The sequence below is a fragment of the Homo sapiens genome, chromosome 1 (assembly GCF_000001405.40).
Source record: "Homo sapiens chromosome 1, GRCh38.p14 Primary Assembly".
NCBI classification, from domain to species: Eukaryota; Metazoa; Chordata; class Mammalia; order Primates; family Hominidae; genus Homo; species Homo sapiens.
Window position 1 is genome coordinate 17103780 of NC_000001.11, and position 14201 is coordinate 17117980.

Sequence of the window (14201 nt, forward strand, 5' to 3'; positions counted from 1 at the left end):
CTACCAGCCTGGGCAATATAGTAAGACCTGTCTCTAAAAAAAAAAAAAAAAAAAATTAGCTGGGCACGATGGCAGGTGCCTGGAGTCCCAGCTACTCGGGAGGCTGGGGCAGGAGGACTGCTTGAACCCAGTAGCTTGAGGTTGCAGTGAGCTATGATCGCACCACTGCACTCCAGCCTGGGAGTCAGAGTGAGATCCTGTCTCTTAAAAACAAACAAACAGGCCGGCCGCGGTGGCTCACGCCTGTAATCCCAGCACTTTGGGAGGCCAAGGTGGGCGGATCACAAGGTCAGGAGATCGACAGCATCCTGGCTAACACGGTGAAACCCCATCTCTACTAAAAATACAAAAAAAAAAAAAAATTAGCTAGGCATAGGGCAGGCGTCTGTAGTCCCAGCTACTCTGGAGGCTGAGGCAGGAGAATGGTGTGAACCTGGGAGGTGGAGCTTGCAGTGAGCCGAGATCGCATCACTGCACTCCAGCCTGGGTGACAGAGGGAGACTCCGTCTCAAACAAACAAACAAACAAAAAACAAACAATTTTGTTAATATTTTTTATATTGATAGCATGTCAAAATGATAATATTTTGATAGATAGGGTTAAGTAATAGATATTAAGACAATTAATTTCACCTGTTTCTTTTTGCCTTTTCTTTTTTTTTTTTTTTTTTTTTGAGACGGAGTCTCGCTCTGTCGCCCAGGCTGGAGTGCAGTGGTGCGATCTCGGCTCACTGCAAGCTCCGCCTCCCGGGTTCACGCCATTCTCCTGCCTCAGCCTCCCAAGTAGCTGGGTCTACAGGCACCCGCCCCATGCCTGGCTAATCTTTTGTATTTTTAGTAGAGACAGGGTTTCACCGTGTTAGCCAGGATGGTCTCGATCTCCTGACCTTGTGATCCACCCGCCTCGGCCTCCCAAAGTGCTGGGATTACAGGCTTGAGCTACTGCGCCCGGCCTCTTTTTGCCTTTTCAATGTGGTTACTGCAGAACTGAAAATGACACATGGCCCACGTGCAGTTTCTATGGGACAGGGCTGGTCCACCCTGCCTCTATCCTGGCATGGTCCCGGGCCCGCAGAGGCTGGACTTCCCGCCGTGGTACCTTGTCACTGCTGGCCTCGGTGCTCGCCTGGCTCATGGTGACCCGCAGGGTGGTGCTGGGCGAGAGAAGCCAGCGCTGCTTGCCATTGGTGGCCACCTCCTCAGCCTCCCCATCACGCACCACCTCCACCCACACGTGTTCCGAGTGCTTCAGGCTGAAGGTTTGGGCCCCGGCTGGGGCCGCGCTGTGGGGAGAGATGAGAGAGGGTTAGGGAGAGCCCTGGGGTAGGTGGGATGAGGGGCTTCAAGAGGAGACTCCTGCTTCCAGCACTTTGGGAGGTCAAAGCCCGAGAATCACTTGAGCCCAGGCGTTTGAGACCAGCCTGGACAACAGTGAGACCTTGTCTTTATATACATTAAAAAATTAGCTGGGCATGCTGGTGCACACCTGTGGTCCCAACTACTTAGGAGACTGAGGTGGGAGAATTGCTTAAGCCTGGGAGGTTGAGGCTGCAGTGAGCTATGATTGTGCCACTGCACTCCAGCCTGAGCAACAGAGCAAGACCCTGTCTCTTCTTTTTTGTGTGTGTGTGTGTGAGGCAGAGTTTCACTCTTGTTGCCCAGGCTGGAGTGCAATGGCACAATCTCGGCTCACTGCAACCTCTGCCTCCCAGGTTCAAGCGATTCTCCTGCCTCAGCCTTCTGAATAGCTGGGATACAGGCATGCACCACCACAGCTGGCTAATTTTGTGTTTTTAGTAGAGATGGGGTTTCTCCATGTTGGTCAGGTTGGTTTTGAACTCCCGACCTCAGGTGATCCGCCTGCCTTGGCCTCCCAAAGTGCTGGGATTACAGGTGTGAGCCACCACGCCCGGCTCTTTTTTCAAAAAAGAAGACTTCTGGAGGGGCAAGTCTGCAAGGGCCCCCACAGGTAATCTGATCTGGGAGACCCCAAAGGGGCCAGCTGCATTGCAGTCACCTGGCTGTGAAGAGGACATCTGTTGAACATGAAATCTCTTGGGCCAATCTTGCACCTCCTGAGTGTGAATGTATGAGGGTCGGGCCTGGGGATCTGAATTCTTAACAACCTTCCTAGTGCCTCTGATGGGAGGCCAGTTTTGGGAGCCACAGGGTCCTGTGAAGGTGGAAGATGGAGACCCAGGCAGGAATGAATTTGCTCCACTAGCAGAGCTGGGCCTGGAACCCTGTCTCCCTGCCCAGGGTCGCTGAGTAAAGTGCTGAGTCCTCACAGGGATGGAGCCCAGTGCCTGGGTCCTAACAGGGCAGAGGTGGGGTGTCTCTTGTTACAAAGATCCCTTCCTTCCTGCCACAGCTTTCTTGCCACCTGACATCCCCCACCTTCTGAGTCATTTCTTGGGGTTCAAAAGTGGTTTTCCATTGCAAAGCAAATACTTTTGGAATTCTTGAATTCCGAAATTCAAGAACTCCGAAAGTATTTCAGAGCAGGAGAACAAATGGATGTGATCTGGCTGCTGTGTACTGAATGTTTGTCTCTCCCCAAATTAGCATGCTGAAGCCTTCACCCTCAGTGTCATGGTATTTGGAGATAGAGCTTTTAGGAGGTAATTAAGGTTAGGTGAGGTCATAGGGGCAGGCTTCTTTTTCTTCTTCTTTTTTTTTTTTTTGAGATGGAGTCTCACTGTCTCCCAGGCTGGAGTGCAGTGGTGCAATCTCAGCTCATTGCAACCTCTGCCTCCCGGGTTCAAGCTGTTCTCCTACCTCAGCCTTCTGAGTAGCTGGGATTACAGGTGCACACCACCACACCCAGCTAATTTTTGTATTTTTAGTAGAGATGGGGTTTCGCCATGTTGGCCAGGCTGGGCTCAAACTCCTGACCTCAGGTGATCCACCCACCTCAGCCTCCCAAAGTGCTGGGATTACAGGCGTGAGCCACCCTGGCCAAGGGCAGGCTTCTAATCAAATAGGAGAAGAAAGATGAGAGAGGAGGAGGAGGAGGAGGAGCAGCAAGAGAGGGAGGGATAGGTAGATAGAGATCTCTCTCCATGGACTGAGGAAAGATCTTGTGAGGACGCAGTGACAAGGTGGCCATTTGCAGGCCAGGAAGAAAGCCGTCACCAGAACCCCGACCATGCCACCACCCTGATCTCGGACTTCCAGCCTCCAGAATTGTGAGAAGATGAATTTGTTTTTAAGCCACCCTGTCCATGGTGTTTTGTTGTTGGCTTAAGGAGAGGTGACAGGAAGGACAGGGGACTAAGGGAGGAAGGTGCCTAGGGCTGGCGGCTTTGCTAAATCCAGCCACTGGTCTGGAGGCCCAAGAGGGCTCAGAGGGACTTAGGTGGGATTCTCGTGGGATTTGTGACTAAGACATAGGTGTAAGCCTGTCTCAAAGGCACAGCTGCTATTTTGGGGGCCTGGTGCTCTTGGGTTCCAGGAGTTCTCAACTATGGCAGGCATCAGAATCATCAGGGGTGCTGTTTAAATCTATAGGGTGTTTTTCTTTGAAGGCTGTAGATTTGTAGATCCAGTCTCTGGAGAGGCTGGCTGGCATGGCAGAGGCTGAGGGTGCTGGGGCAGCTGAAGATGGAAACAGTGGCCAGGGTTGAATGACAAGTGTAGGCCAGCGGCTGTCAAAGTGCAGCAGCAGTGTCTGGGGCGGCGGCACCTGGAGGTCTTGTCAAAACAGACTGCGGGGCCCCATCTCAGAGCATCCAATTCAGGAGGTCTGGCATGGGGCCCAAGAATCTGCATTTCTAACATGCTTCCAGGAACTGTTGATGCTGCCGGTCCCAGTACCACACTTTGAGAACCACTGGTCCAGACAATCAGCACTGCGGTCCACTGCTGAGAGCCCTGGGCTGGCCAAGGCCGTGAGCGTGAATCTGTAGAGGCTGCCGGGCAGTGTCTGTCTGACCTGGGCCACAGACTTCAGGGGCTATGGGCAAAGACTACTGGTCTTGGGCTCTGGCAGGAGAATTGGGAAGGACTCGGCAGCCTGTGGCCAGTGCTGGGAGAGGAGCTCAATGAAGACACCCCAAGGTCACTCTGGTTCTTGTCCTGCCCCCTTCCAAACTCCACAGCCTGTCCTGGGATGATGTGAGACTGGACACTTCTTGGTCATGGCTTGCTGTCCCCTCTCCGCATCCATCACTTTTTTTTTTTTTTTTTGAGGAGGAGTCTCTCTCTGTCACTCAGGCTAGAGTGTAGTGGCGTGATCTCAGCTTATTGCAAACTCTGTCTCCTTGGTTCAAGCGATTCTCCTGCCTCAGCCTCTGGAGTAGCTGGGATTACAGGTGCCCGCCACCATGCCCGGCTAATTTTTGTATTTTTAGTAGAGTTGGGGTTTCACCATGTTGGCCAGGCTGGTCTTGAACTCCTGACCTCAGGTGATCCACCCGCCTCGGCCTCCCAAAGTGTTGGGATTACAGGCGTGAGCCACCGTGCCTGGCCACATCCATCATTAAGAGGGGCACAGAGTCTGGACAAAAGCCCTGGACTAAGGGTGCACGTGCAGAGGACCTGGGTTTGAGTCTAGTTTTGCCCCTGACTTGAGGGGGTCTGCACCTTCTGAATGTCCATCTGTTAGTCCCTACGCCTCAGGAGGACTGCCACCCTCCTGCCCATAGCTCTCGTCTCTCACTCCCCCTAGGGCTGGGGCCACGTTTTGCTGAGTGGTGTTGCCACGTGGTACCTGCCCTCCTTTGGGTTATAAGTCCCCTGAGGGCATGGTCCGGCCTCTCCCATCTTCATTCTTCAGAGCCTAGCACAGGGCTTGGCCCATCATACACCCAAGCAAAGAGGGCAGAGGTGAGTCGGACGGAAGGTAAGCCGTTCCCAAGGAGAGGTGTGAGTACACACCCTGGATGCTTTAGGTGGCACAGGGAGGAACAATCTACAAGAAGACTTATGTGTTTATCAAACACAGTATCTTTTTATGGTGACTGATAAAGTCTTGCCATTTATGGTAATGCTATAAAATCTCTGTTTAAAATAAAGTTATTAAGAAAAATGTGAGCTGGGTTAAAGAAAAGTGTTATAGTGAGACAGGTTGAAGATGGTTTTGGCCAAAGCCATGAGAGTCTGGGAAACTATGGCCTCAGGTCTGGGAAGCATTCCTCTCCTGCAAGTCTCAGCTTTGCCCATCAACATGCTGGGTGGCCTTGGGCCAGGGACTTTCCCTCTCTCAGTTTCATCCAGTGTTAGGTGAGAGGATGGAACCAGAGCAGAGGTGGCTGAGTCCAGAGAGTGCAGAGGAGAGGCCCTGGGCAAAGGGGTGAGGAGGAAGGCTCTGGAAAGCTGGGGATGGCTGGGTGCGGTGGCTCACACCTGTAACCCCAGCACTTTGGGAGGCTGAGGTGGGTGGATCACTTGAGGTCAGAAGTTCAAGACCAGCCTGGCCAACATGGCAAAACCCTATCTCTACTAAAAAAAATACAAAAATTAGCCGAGCGTAGTGGCGTGTGCCTGTAGTCCCAGCTACTCGGGAGGCTGAGGCAGGAGAATCACTTGAACCTGGGAGGTGGAGGTTGCAGTGAGTTGAGATTGTGCCACTGAACTCCAGCCTGGGTGACAGAGCGAGACTCTGTCTATTAAAAAAAAAAAAAAAAAAAAAAAAAAAGCTTGGGATATCTCCACTGGATTCCTGCCACTCCCCTCCCCACCTTAACCAGAGCCACTACTACTACTATTGTTTATTTATTTATTTTCTTAAACTGAGAGTCGTGCTCTGTCATCCAGGCTGGAGTGCAGTGGTGCTATCTCTGCTCACTGCAACCTCCGCATCCTAGGTTCAAGTGATTCTCCTGCCTCAGCCTCCCAAGTAGTTGGGACTACAGGCATGCACCACCATGCCTGGCTAAATTTTGTATTTTTAGTAGAGATGGGGTTGCACTGTGTTGGCCTGGCTGGTCTTGAATTTCTGACCTCAAGTGATCCGTTCGCCTTGGCCTCCCAAAGTGCTGGGATTACAGGAGTGAGCCACCATGCCTGACCCAGAGCCACTATTATTTCATCTGGTTTTATATATTGAGCTTCTGCACACAATTCTATTTAGGAAAAAATGTTTTACAAGATGATCTTTTAGGACCCTGACTCAGTTACTGTAAGTGATGCTTCCTGCCCACCTTCATTCCTCTGGACCAGAGAGAAACCAAAGGAGGCCTCAGAGGCTCCAGAGGGTTAACGCCCAGCCCACATCGCAGCTCCAGGGCCCCACACCCTCCTATTCCCCAGCACCAGCCCTGTTCTGAGCTGAGCAAACAGCTATTCTTGGAGTGGCCCTGGGCAAAGCAATAAAGGGGCCCATTGTGCCCCTGCAGATCCTGTTGGCTGCCTTCCTCCTCAGGAAGAACCCTTTAGAATCTCTCTCGCAGAAACCCGAGAGCCAGGGGCTTCAGGCACCTGGATTGTCCCTGGAGGCTGCAGGGAGGGGCCCAGGACAGTATTGAGGGAAAGGGAGGGGGCTTGGGGGTGGTTATGACCTTCTTGCTTATTAGAGAGAGGCTAAGGAGAGCATGGATGGAGGGACAGGCTGCCAATCACTGTGGCCATGTCTCCTGCCTACCATGGAATCCCAGAACCCAGGACATGGATATGCTCAGTGTAGTCTTTGGCAATACATGAATGAATGCACCTGCCCTTCTTGGCTTTCCAAGCTGTATTACACAAGTGATTTAAAAAACAAACGAACAAACAAAAAAAACCCAGAAATCAGGTCATGGGCTTTCTTGAAAATATTCACTGGCTCCTCAGTGCCTACCCATACAAGAATATCCAAACTCTTCATCCTGGTGTTGAACTAGGCACATTTGGCCATTGCAACTCAGCTTGACTCTCTGGTTTCATTTTCTGCGGTTCCTTCCACCACTTCAGCTCCCTGCATTGTTCCATCTACTGTGCATTTTGACATATGTTGTTCCTTTTACCAGCAAGACTTTCCCCTGACTTCTCTGCCTGGCAAATGTCCATCTCTCCTTGAAGACCTAACTCCATCCATTTGCCCCCACAGTTACTGGCCCTTTTGGCAGTTCACTCCTTGAAGGTAGGGATTGGATCTTCTTGTTTGTTTGTTTGTTTGTTTCAGCACCTGGCCTAGTATGGGCACACCGTAAGTATAAATGTTTGCTGCAGGAGGGCTGGAGGAGGCGGGCTTACTTATATGGTCGTTCATTCACTCAACATGTATTTACTGAGCACTTACAATGTGCCAGGCACAGTTCTAGGCATTGAGGGGTAGATTAGTGAAAAAGCAAACACATTCCCTGGGCCCATGGAAAAGACAGACCTTTTTTTTTTTTTTTTTTTTTTTGGGACGGAGTCTTCCTCTGTTGCCCAGGCTGGAGTGCAGTGGCATGATCTTGGCTCACTGCAATCTCTACCTCCTGGGTTCAAGCGATTCTCCTGCCTCAGCCTCCTGAGTAGCCGGGATTATAGGAGCCCACCACCACGCCTGGCTATTTTTAATTTTTGTATTTTTTAGTAGAGACGGGGTTTCACCATGTTGTCCAGGCTGGTTTGGGACTCCTGACTTCAAGTGATCTGCCCGCCTCAGCCTCCCAAAGTGCTGGGATTACAGGTGTGAGCTACTGTGCCTGGACAGAAAAGACAGACTTTCAATGGATTACATGATTACAGCTGTGATAATTACTATAAAGGAGGAGAGGGTGCCATGAGGCCCCAGTCTGGGGTTCAAGGAGGGATTCCCTGAGGAAGTGGCATTTGAACTAAGGTTTAAACTTTATAATCTAAAGGACAGGCAGGAATTAATTACACCATTGCAGTGCTGACTGTAAAAAAAAAAAATTAAACCAGAGATTCTTAAATTTGAGTGTGCATTACCACTACCTACAGGGCCTACTAAAATACAGGTAAATGGGCCCAGCCCCTGAGTTTCTGATCTATCGACTGTGGGGTGGGACCTGAGAAACTGCATTTCTAACAAGCTCCCAGGTAATGTTGATGCTGCTGGTCCCCCACAGTTTGACAACCACTGAGTTGGACAAGGAAGGAGAGGAAGAGGAGCAGAGATTTCCAAGCAACAGGACAGCTTGCGTGATGGCCTGAGGTGGGGGTTAGTCCTGCATGTTCGAGAAGCTGGAAAGAGGGGAGTGTGTCTGGAGTTTGTGAGCAAGGGGGAGGGAGAGTGGTGGGAGCAGGGATTTTAGATAATGGTGAGGAGCTGGCCTTCCTCTGATTGTAGAGGGAAGTCACTGAAGGTTTCTAAGCAGGGGTGGCATGATCAGTTTTGCACTGTAGATAGATCATCCAGGGTGCAGGGTTGCCCAGAATGCAGGGTGGGGGATGGATTTCAGGAAAGCAACAGAGGAAGTGGGGAGGAGGTGGCTGCAGCTGCCCACGTGAGCGATTATGGTGTCTTGGGACCAGATAGTGGCTGTGGAAATGGAGAGAAATGGCCACTAGGTTGGTGTCAAACAAACGACACTTGCCCAGTCCCACAAATGCTTTGTGGTCTCTAGGAGCCATGGTCCTCTCTGGTCTTGGCTCGGTCAGTGGGGAGGGTCACTGGCTTGGCCTTGCAGGGCTGGGGTGGCTCACCAGCCCCAGACTTGAGGGCATGAAGCGCCTGCTCCTTGCTGGCATCTGGCTTTCTTAGCTTGCCCGCCTGGCCTGGGCCTCATTAACACCAGCTGGGGCTCATCCCCAGAGTGACCCCAGCTCCTGGCAGCCTGGGTGTGACATCCTGCTCTTGGGGCTTTAGAGGAGTCTGGGGGGGGGAGTCGTGGGTGCCAGCCTGTCATGCAACCCCATGGCGAGCAAGAGGCAGGCAAGGACCAGCGGGGAGAATGACCTCAGTCCAGACCTCACACCTGGTGCTCGGCATGGTGGTGGCTGGGGCCCTGTGGGTGGGCAGCTGCCCTGAACAGGGATCAGTGGAGGCAAACAATGACGTCTGCCTTCAGCCAGCTTCCCTCACCACCTGGTGCATCCAGCTGTCCCGGGCCTCTCCTTAGGGAAGAAACAATCTGATCTATAGCTACTCCTCTCCTCAGAAACCTTCAGTGACTCCCTGCTACTTACAGAACAAAGTCCAATGTCTGAACGATGTATTCAAAGCCTGGTTAGAGCTCATTGACCCTCCAGCCTTATACTCCAGGCCTCTGAAGCTGTGCCCTTTCTGTCTCTGTGTGCCCCAACTTCCCTGCCAGTTATCTCTGCCCCTGAGTGGCATGTTCTTGGTCTCACTCTGAACCCCAGTCCATCCTTCAAGACCCAGCTCAGTTGCCACCTCTTCCAGGAAGTCATCCCTGATCTCATCAGCCAGAATATATCTCTCCCTCCATTTATTGGTGTCTCAAACAACACTTAATAAATTCAGTTCTAGATTTCTTTCCCATAAGTGCTATGAAGTCTTTGAGGAGAGGGATCAGGTCTCATTATTACTTGTTTTCAAAATAAACTCAATACTAATACATAACAACTTACTGAGTATTTACTATTATTATTATTATTATTATTATTATTATTATTATTTTTCTAACCACTAGACCACCAGGGAACTGAGTATTCATTATGTCTCAGGCACTGTACCAAGCCCATGGCCCACATGACCTCAGCCCATTCTTTCGATAACCCCATGAGGCCCATACCACTGTGATTTCATTTTACAGATGAGCACATTGAGGCCCCTAGAGGGCAAGCACCCGCTTCAAATCTCAGGGACAGTCATGGCCGAGTGTGAGGGGAACTCAGGCTCTCTGAGACCTGGGCCTGGCTGTCCCCTCCCTGGGAGAGAATTCAAAGTCTGGAGTCTTTCCTGAGATCCCCCAGGTAGGTGTGCCTGGTGTGGGGCAGAGGGGAGGATCAGGCCTGGCTCTGAAGAGGACCAAATGAGAGCCCCTTACTTATTTCACAGGTGGGAGTCTGAGACACAGAGAAGGGACACTAAAGACTGGCTTCCTGTCCTGGGCTCTTGGGTCAATGACAGAGAGAAGCAAGCCTGGGCCCATCAAAGCCTCTGGGTGCAAGGTCTGGCGTGGCTGGGCAGGAAAGAGCTGCCTTCAAAAGCTGCCTCCTCCAAAGTGCAGCAGGTATGTCTGGCCAGCTAGGGGTGGGCACTGGGGTGAGCCCCTGCCACTGTGCTCCCATCCCAACTCAGGGCCCTGCAGTCAATGAGGGAAGGTCTCAGGGACCCCAACTATGCAGGGACTGTGAGCCTGGTTCTCCTTAGAACACTCCCAACCCCAGGAAACTAGCCTGAAACCAGAGCCCTGGAGCAATTCCTGGCAAGGCATCCCGTTTGGGGTTGAGGGCTCTGGGTGCTGTTCTAATTTATGGGCCACCTGACCTGGCCTGAATTCCTCCCACCGTCATTCTCTCAGGAGCAAGCGCTGCTCGGGCCAAGCTTGGCCACATGCCCTTGACCTTCCACAGGCCCATCCAACGGTGCCTGTCCCTTGAGGCTGGGGGTGGGGAGCTCAGCCCCATGACAGGCCAGTCCACAGGCATCACAGGCCACATTCATTCATTCATTCGTTCATTCATTCATTCATTCAGGGAGCCCTTCATTGACTCCAGGGAGGATCACAAACAAGGAGGAGGCACGCCTGAAACATAAGTACCAGGAGGGCAGCCTGGCAGAGCAGGCAGGGGCCTGGGCTCTGCACCCCACAGTTTACTGGCTGTGCCATCCTGGACAAACACTCCTTCCTTCAGTTTCCCCAGCTGCGAAAAGGGGACAATAATTGTACCTAACTCATAAAGTTGTTGCAAGGTTTAAATACGTAAATTATTACATGTCCGTGAGATGAGCATGCAAAGTGTTGAGAAGCCTGCACAAAATAAGTGTTCAATAAATGTCAACTAGTAACATTAAGAAACGATGAGAAGTTGTGCAAAGAAAAAAATGTGATGAAACAGAGTTCTCGGGACTCAGGGTAGGGCACCACGACATGGGGTAGTCAAAGAAAGCTTCCTGGAGGAGGTGACATTGGAGCTGAGACTTGACTGATGAAAGTCAGGCTTGTGGGGATCTGGGGGATGGTGTTCCAGGCAGAGGGAACAGCAACTGCAAAGGCCCTGAGGTGGGAATGAGCTTGGCACAGCCAAGGGCTAACAGCATCCACAAAGCCAGCGTGGCCGGAATGGAGTGTGTGCTGAGGAATTGCTAGAAGAGGAGATCAGTGAGGTAGGGCCTGGCACACTATGGGGAGGGGAGCCCATAGCACCCCAGGCCCCCATCATGGAAAACTGGATCTCAGACCCTCCTGGCCTTTGTCCTAATGACACTTTTTAAAAAAGCAAATACATCTCTAGCCTTCACACCAACCAAGAGACAGAAAGTCTGGGAGTGAGTTTGTGCCAAAGTCTAGGAGCGCCTGCCTGATACCTTCTTCCTATCTTCTGCCAGCGAGTTATGGGCAAATTATTACTATTTACTTGATATTACTAGCTGACATTTATCTTCTTTCTGTCTTCTACTGGGACAATGGCTGGTCAGCCTCTGCCTTGGGGAATCCCAGGGAAGGGAATCCTCCCACCTCCACCTCACAGACGCAGCTGGAACCTCTGCACAGGCAAAGGGACAATGTTAAGATCATTCCAGTGTCCTGAAGCTCCTGCAGACCTCAGGATCTGGATCCTGGCTCCTGTACACCAGGGAGGAAAAGAAGAGCCCTGCCTTCTCGAGAACTCTCACTGACAGAGGCATAAGCCGAGGGAGGAACAGAAGAAGCCATTCCCAAGGCCCAGCTTGTGGGCAGAGAGTGACCACCCTGCTACCTACTTTACTCCGAGGCTGCCCTGTCCCTAATAATCCTTCCAGACTCTGGGAGTGTCCATGCCTCCAGGGCTCACAAGAGGTGGGTGGCCAGGATGGAACCAACCTAGGGACTCCCTCTGTGCTCTCTTTCCAACTTCAAGCCCAAATCAGATGGGGACCCAGGCCAGCCCCACTGAAGAAGTGACTGTCGGCTAAAGGGACCACCGGAGGAGATTGTGTGGGCCAGGTGTACCTGTGCCAAGACTAAGATGAGTATATTTGGGAAGAGCAGAAGGAAACAGCGAGTATCTTTAACAACAATCACAAAGTACAATTTCTAACAAACACCCTACTTCCTTCTTTCTATGTATCTATTCATTGCTTGCTGGAGACTAGCAGTCAGAATGAGGCTAGGTCAAGGCATCCATCCCCAGGGGGGCCAGTTTTGCTGGGAGAGCGTGGGTGGCCCAGAGCACCCCTGCCCATGGTGGCCTGGATGACCCCTCATAGGGCAGCATAGTGGTCAATTGTTCATCACTGTGACCCTGAGTGTACATCTTCTATTGAATACAAGATCCTTCCTCCTGTTCTCTGATCGACCCCCATTTGGGTCAGTGGAGACTCAGAGAAGTGAAGCGATTTGCTCAAGGTCACACAGCCCGTGGATGGAAGCTGGTAGGGCAGTGCCTGCCAGGACCACAAGGTCTATTGAGGAATGAGGCTGGGGAGGCCCCTGCTATGTGTCTGGAGGGGATCCTGTGTGCCAGCATCACAGGAAAGGGAGTCCAGAGCCCTTGGGAAAGGGAGTGGGTGCTGAGGCCGTTTCGCTCACCTTTGCGACTCAGAAGGAGTGAGGGTCAGGATGCCACTCCGTAATTAACTGGGCCCAGCACCCCCGGGCCTTGTTCCTTGGGGTCTACTTGGAGGCTCTGGGGGCATCACTTGGGGTCTTGAGCCAGGACCTGTGTCCGGGCAGCAAAGGACTCAGGGAAGAGTGGAGGGCCAAATGGGAGTTGGTGAAGTCTCTGGGGACAGTGGGCTCGTGGCCAGGGTGGAAGAGACACAGGCTGAGAGGGCCGTCCAGTTCAACCCGCTGGTTTTAGGGTCACATAGGACAGAGTGGGGTATAAGAGCATGAGTTCTGAGTCAAACAGACCTGGACCTGAGTCCTGTGTGACTCTGGACAAATGGCTTCATCTCTCTGAGCCTTACCTTCCTCATCTGTAAAATGGGATGATCAATGAACCCTCCAGGGTCTATGGTGAGGAAGAAAGGAGGTGGTGGGTTCAGTTCCTAAGTGCCCACTAATACCTCCTCCTGTTATCAATACTGGCAGTTGCTCTCATTACTACAGGTAACTCGAGTCACAATAGCAGTAACAACTCAAGCTCCTTAGTCCTGGAAGAGGCTTCCTTCCACTGGACCAGTGAGTCTCAGCTGGCTGTGATTTTGCCCCCTGCCAGGGGACTGCTGGCACTGTCTGGCAACATTTTTGGTTGTCACAATTTGGGGGTTGCTACTGGCATCTAGGGGACAGAGGTCAGGGATGCCACTAAACATCCCGCTACAACAAAGAAATATCGAGCCCAAAATGCAATAGTGCGAGATTGAGAAACTCTGCACTAGACCTGTTCTGTCCCGGTGTCACTGGCTCACGGTGGCCAGTGAGCACCTGAGATGCACTCAATCTACGCTGAGATGTGCTGAAGTGTAAAATGTGCACTGGATTACAAAGACTTAGCATGAAAAAAGGAAGGTAAACCATTTCCTTAATAATTTTTATATTGATTGCATGTTGAAATGATAATATTCTAAAATATTGGGTTAAACAAAATATATTATTAAAATTATGCCTGTTGTTTTAACTTTAAAAAAGTGTGGACTACTAGAAGATTTAAAATGCAATTGTGGTTTTGTTGTGGTTCAAACTGGACTTTTCTGGACAGTACTGGTCTAGAGCGCACTGCCCCTCTCTGTGGTGGTGGAGAACCTTAAGTGCCGGTGGGGGTTAGGGTCTTTGTGGTCGTTGAGACAGGACAAGGGGAATCGTCACACTGCTGCCCCCTGCTAGAGGGAGGCTGAGTCCATATCTGCCCCACTCTGTGCCCCTACCCCAGCTGGGCCTCTCTTTGCCAGGATAGAGCGATAGCAGGGCGCCTGAGCAGGAACCCTCCTTTGCTCCCCACCCCCGACTGGGAGGATCATGCCAGCTTTTCAGGCGGCACCAACCATGCCCCAGCAAATAAACAGGTGGGTATGGTGACAGCTGAGGCTTAGAGACCTGAGCACTCTGGCTCCGCGCCCACTCCCTAGCGGTGCCCAGTTCAGGGCTGGGGGTGGGGAAGGCAGGGGAGCTCTTGCACCCCACCAGAGCCTGGACCACCCTCCACTGCTGTGTTCTTGTTCTCAGAGACCACCCAGTCCACCTCTGAGGTTTACATGGGGGACAACTGAAGCCCAGGCCC

At 51.8% G+C, this 14201-nt stretch overlaps 1 protein-coding gene and 1 long non-coding RNA gene across 3 annotated transcripts in view; one reads left to right on the forward strand and one right to left on the reverse strand.

Annotated features, from left to right (window-relative positions):
* Window positions 1-14201, reverse strand: part of PADI2 (peptidyl arginine deiminase 2) — a 52691-nt gene that overhangs the window by 37019 nt on the left and 1471 nt on the right. For both annotated transcript variants that reach the window (NM_007365.3, XM_047442975.1), the window contains exon 2: window positions 1099-1282. In NM_007365.3, the coding sequence (NP_031391.2) occupies window positions 1099-1282 (184 nt within the window). The remainder of the gene's footprint in view (window positions 1-1098; window positions 1283-14201) is intronic.
* LOC124903861 (uncharacterized) lies at window positions 7997-10066 on the forward strand. The gene is made up of 3 exons (XR_007065506.1): window positions 7997-8082; window positions 9647-9806; window positions 9892-10066. It is a non-coding gene; the product is annotated as an uncharacterized LOC124903861 (long non-coding RNA).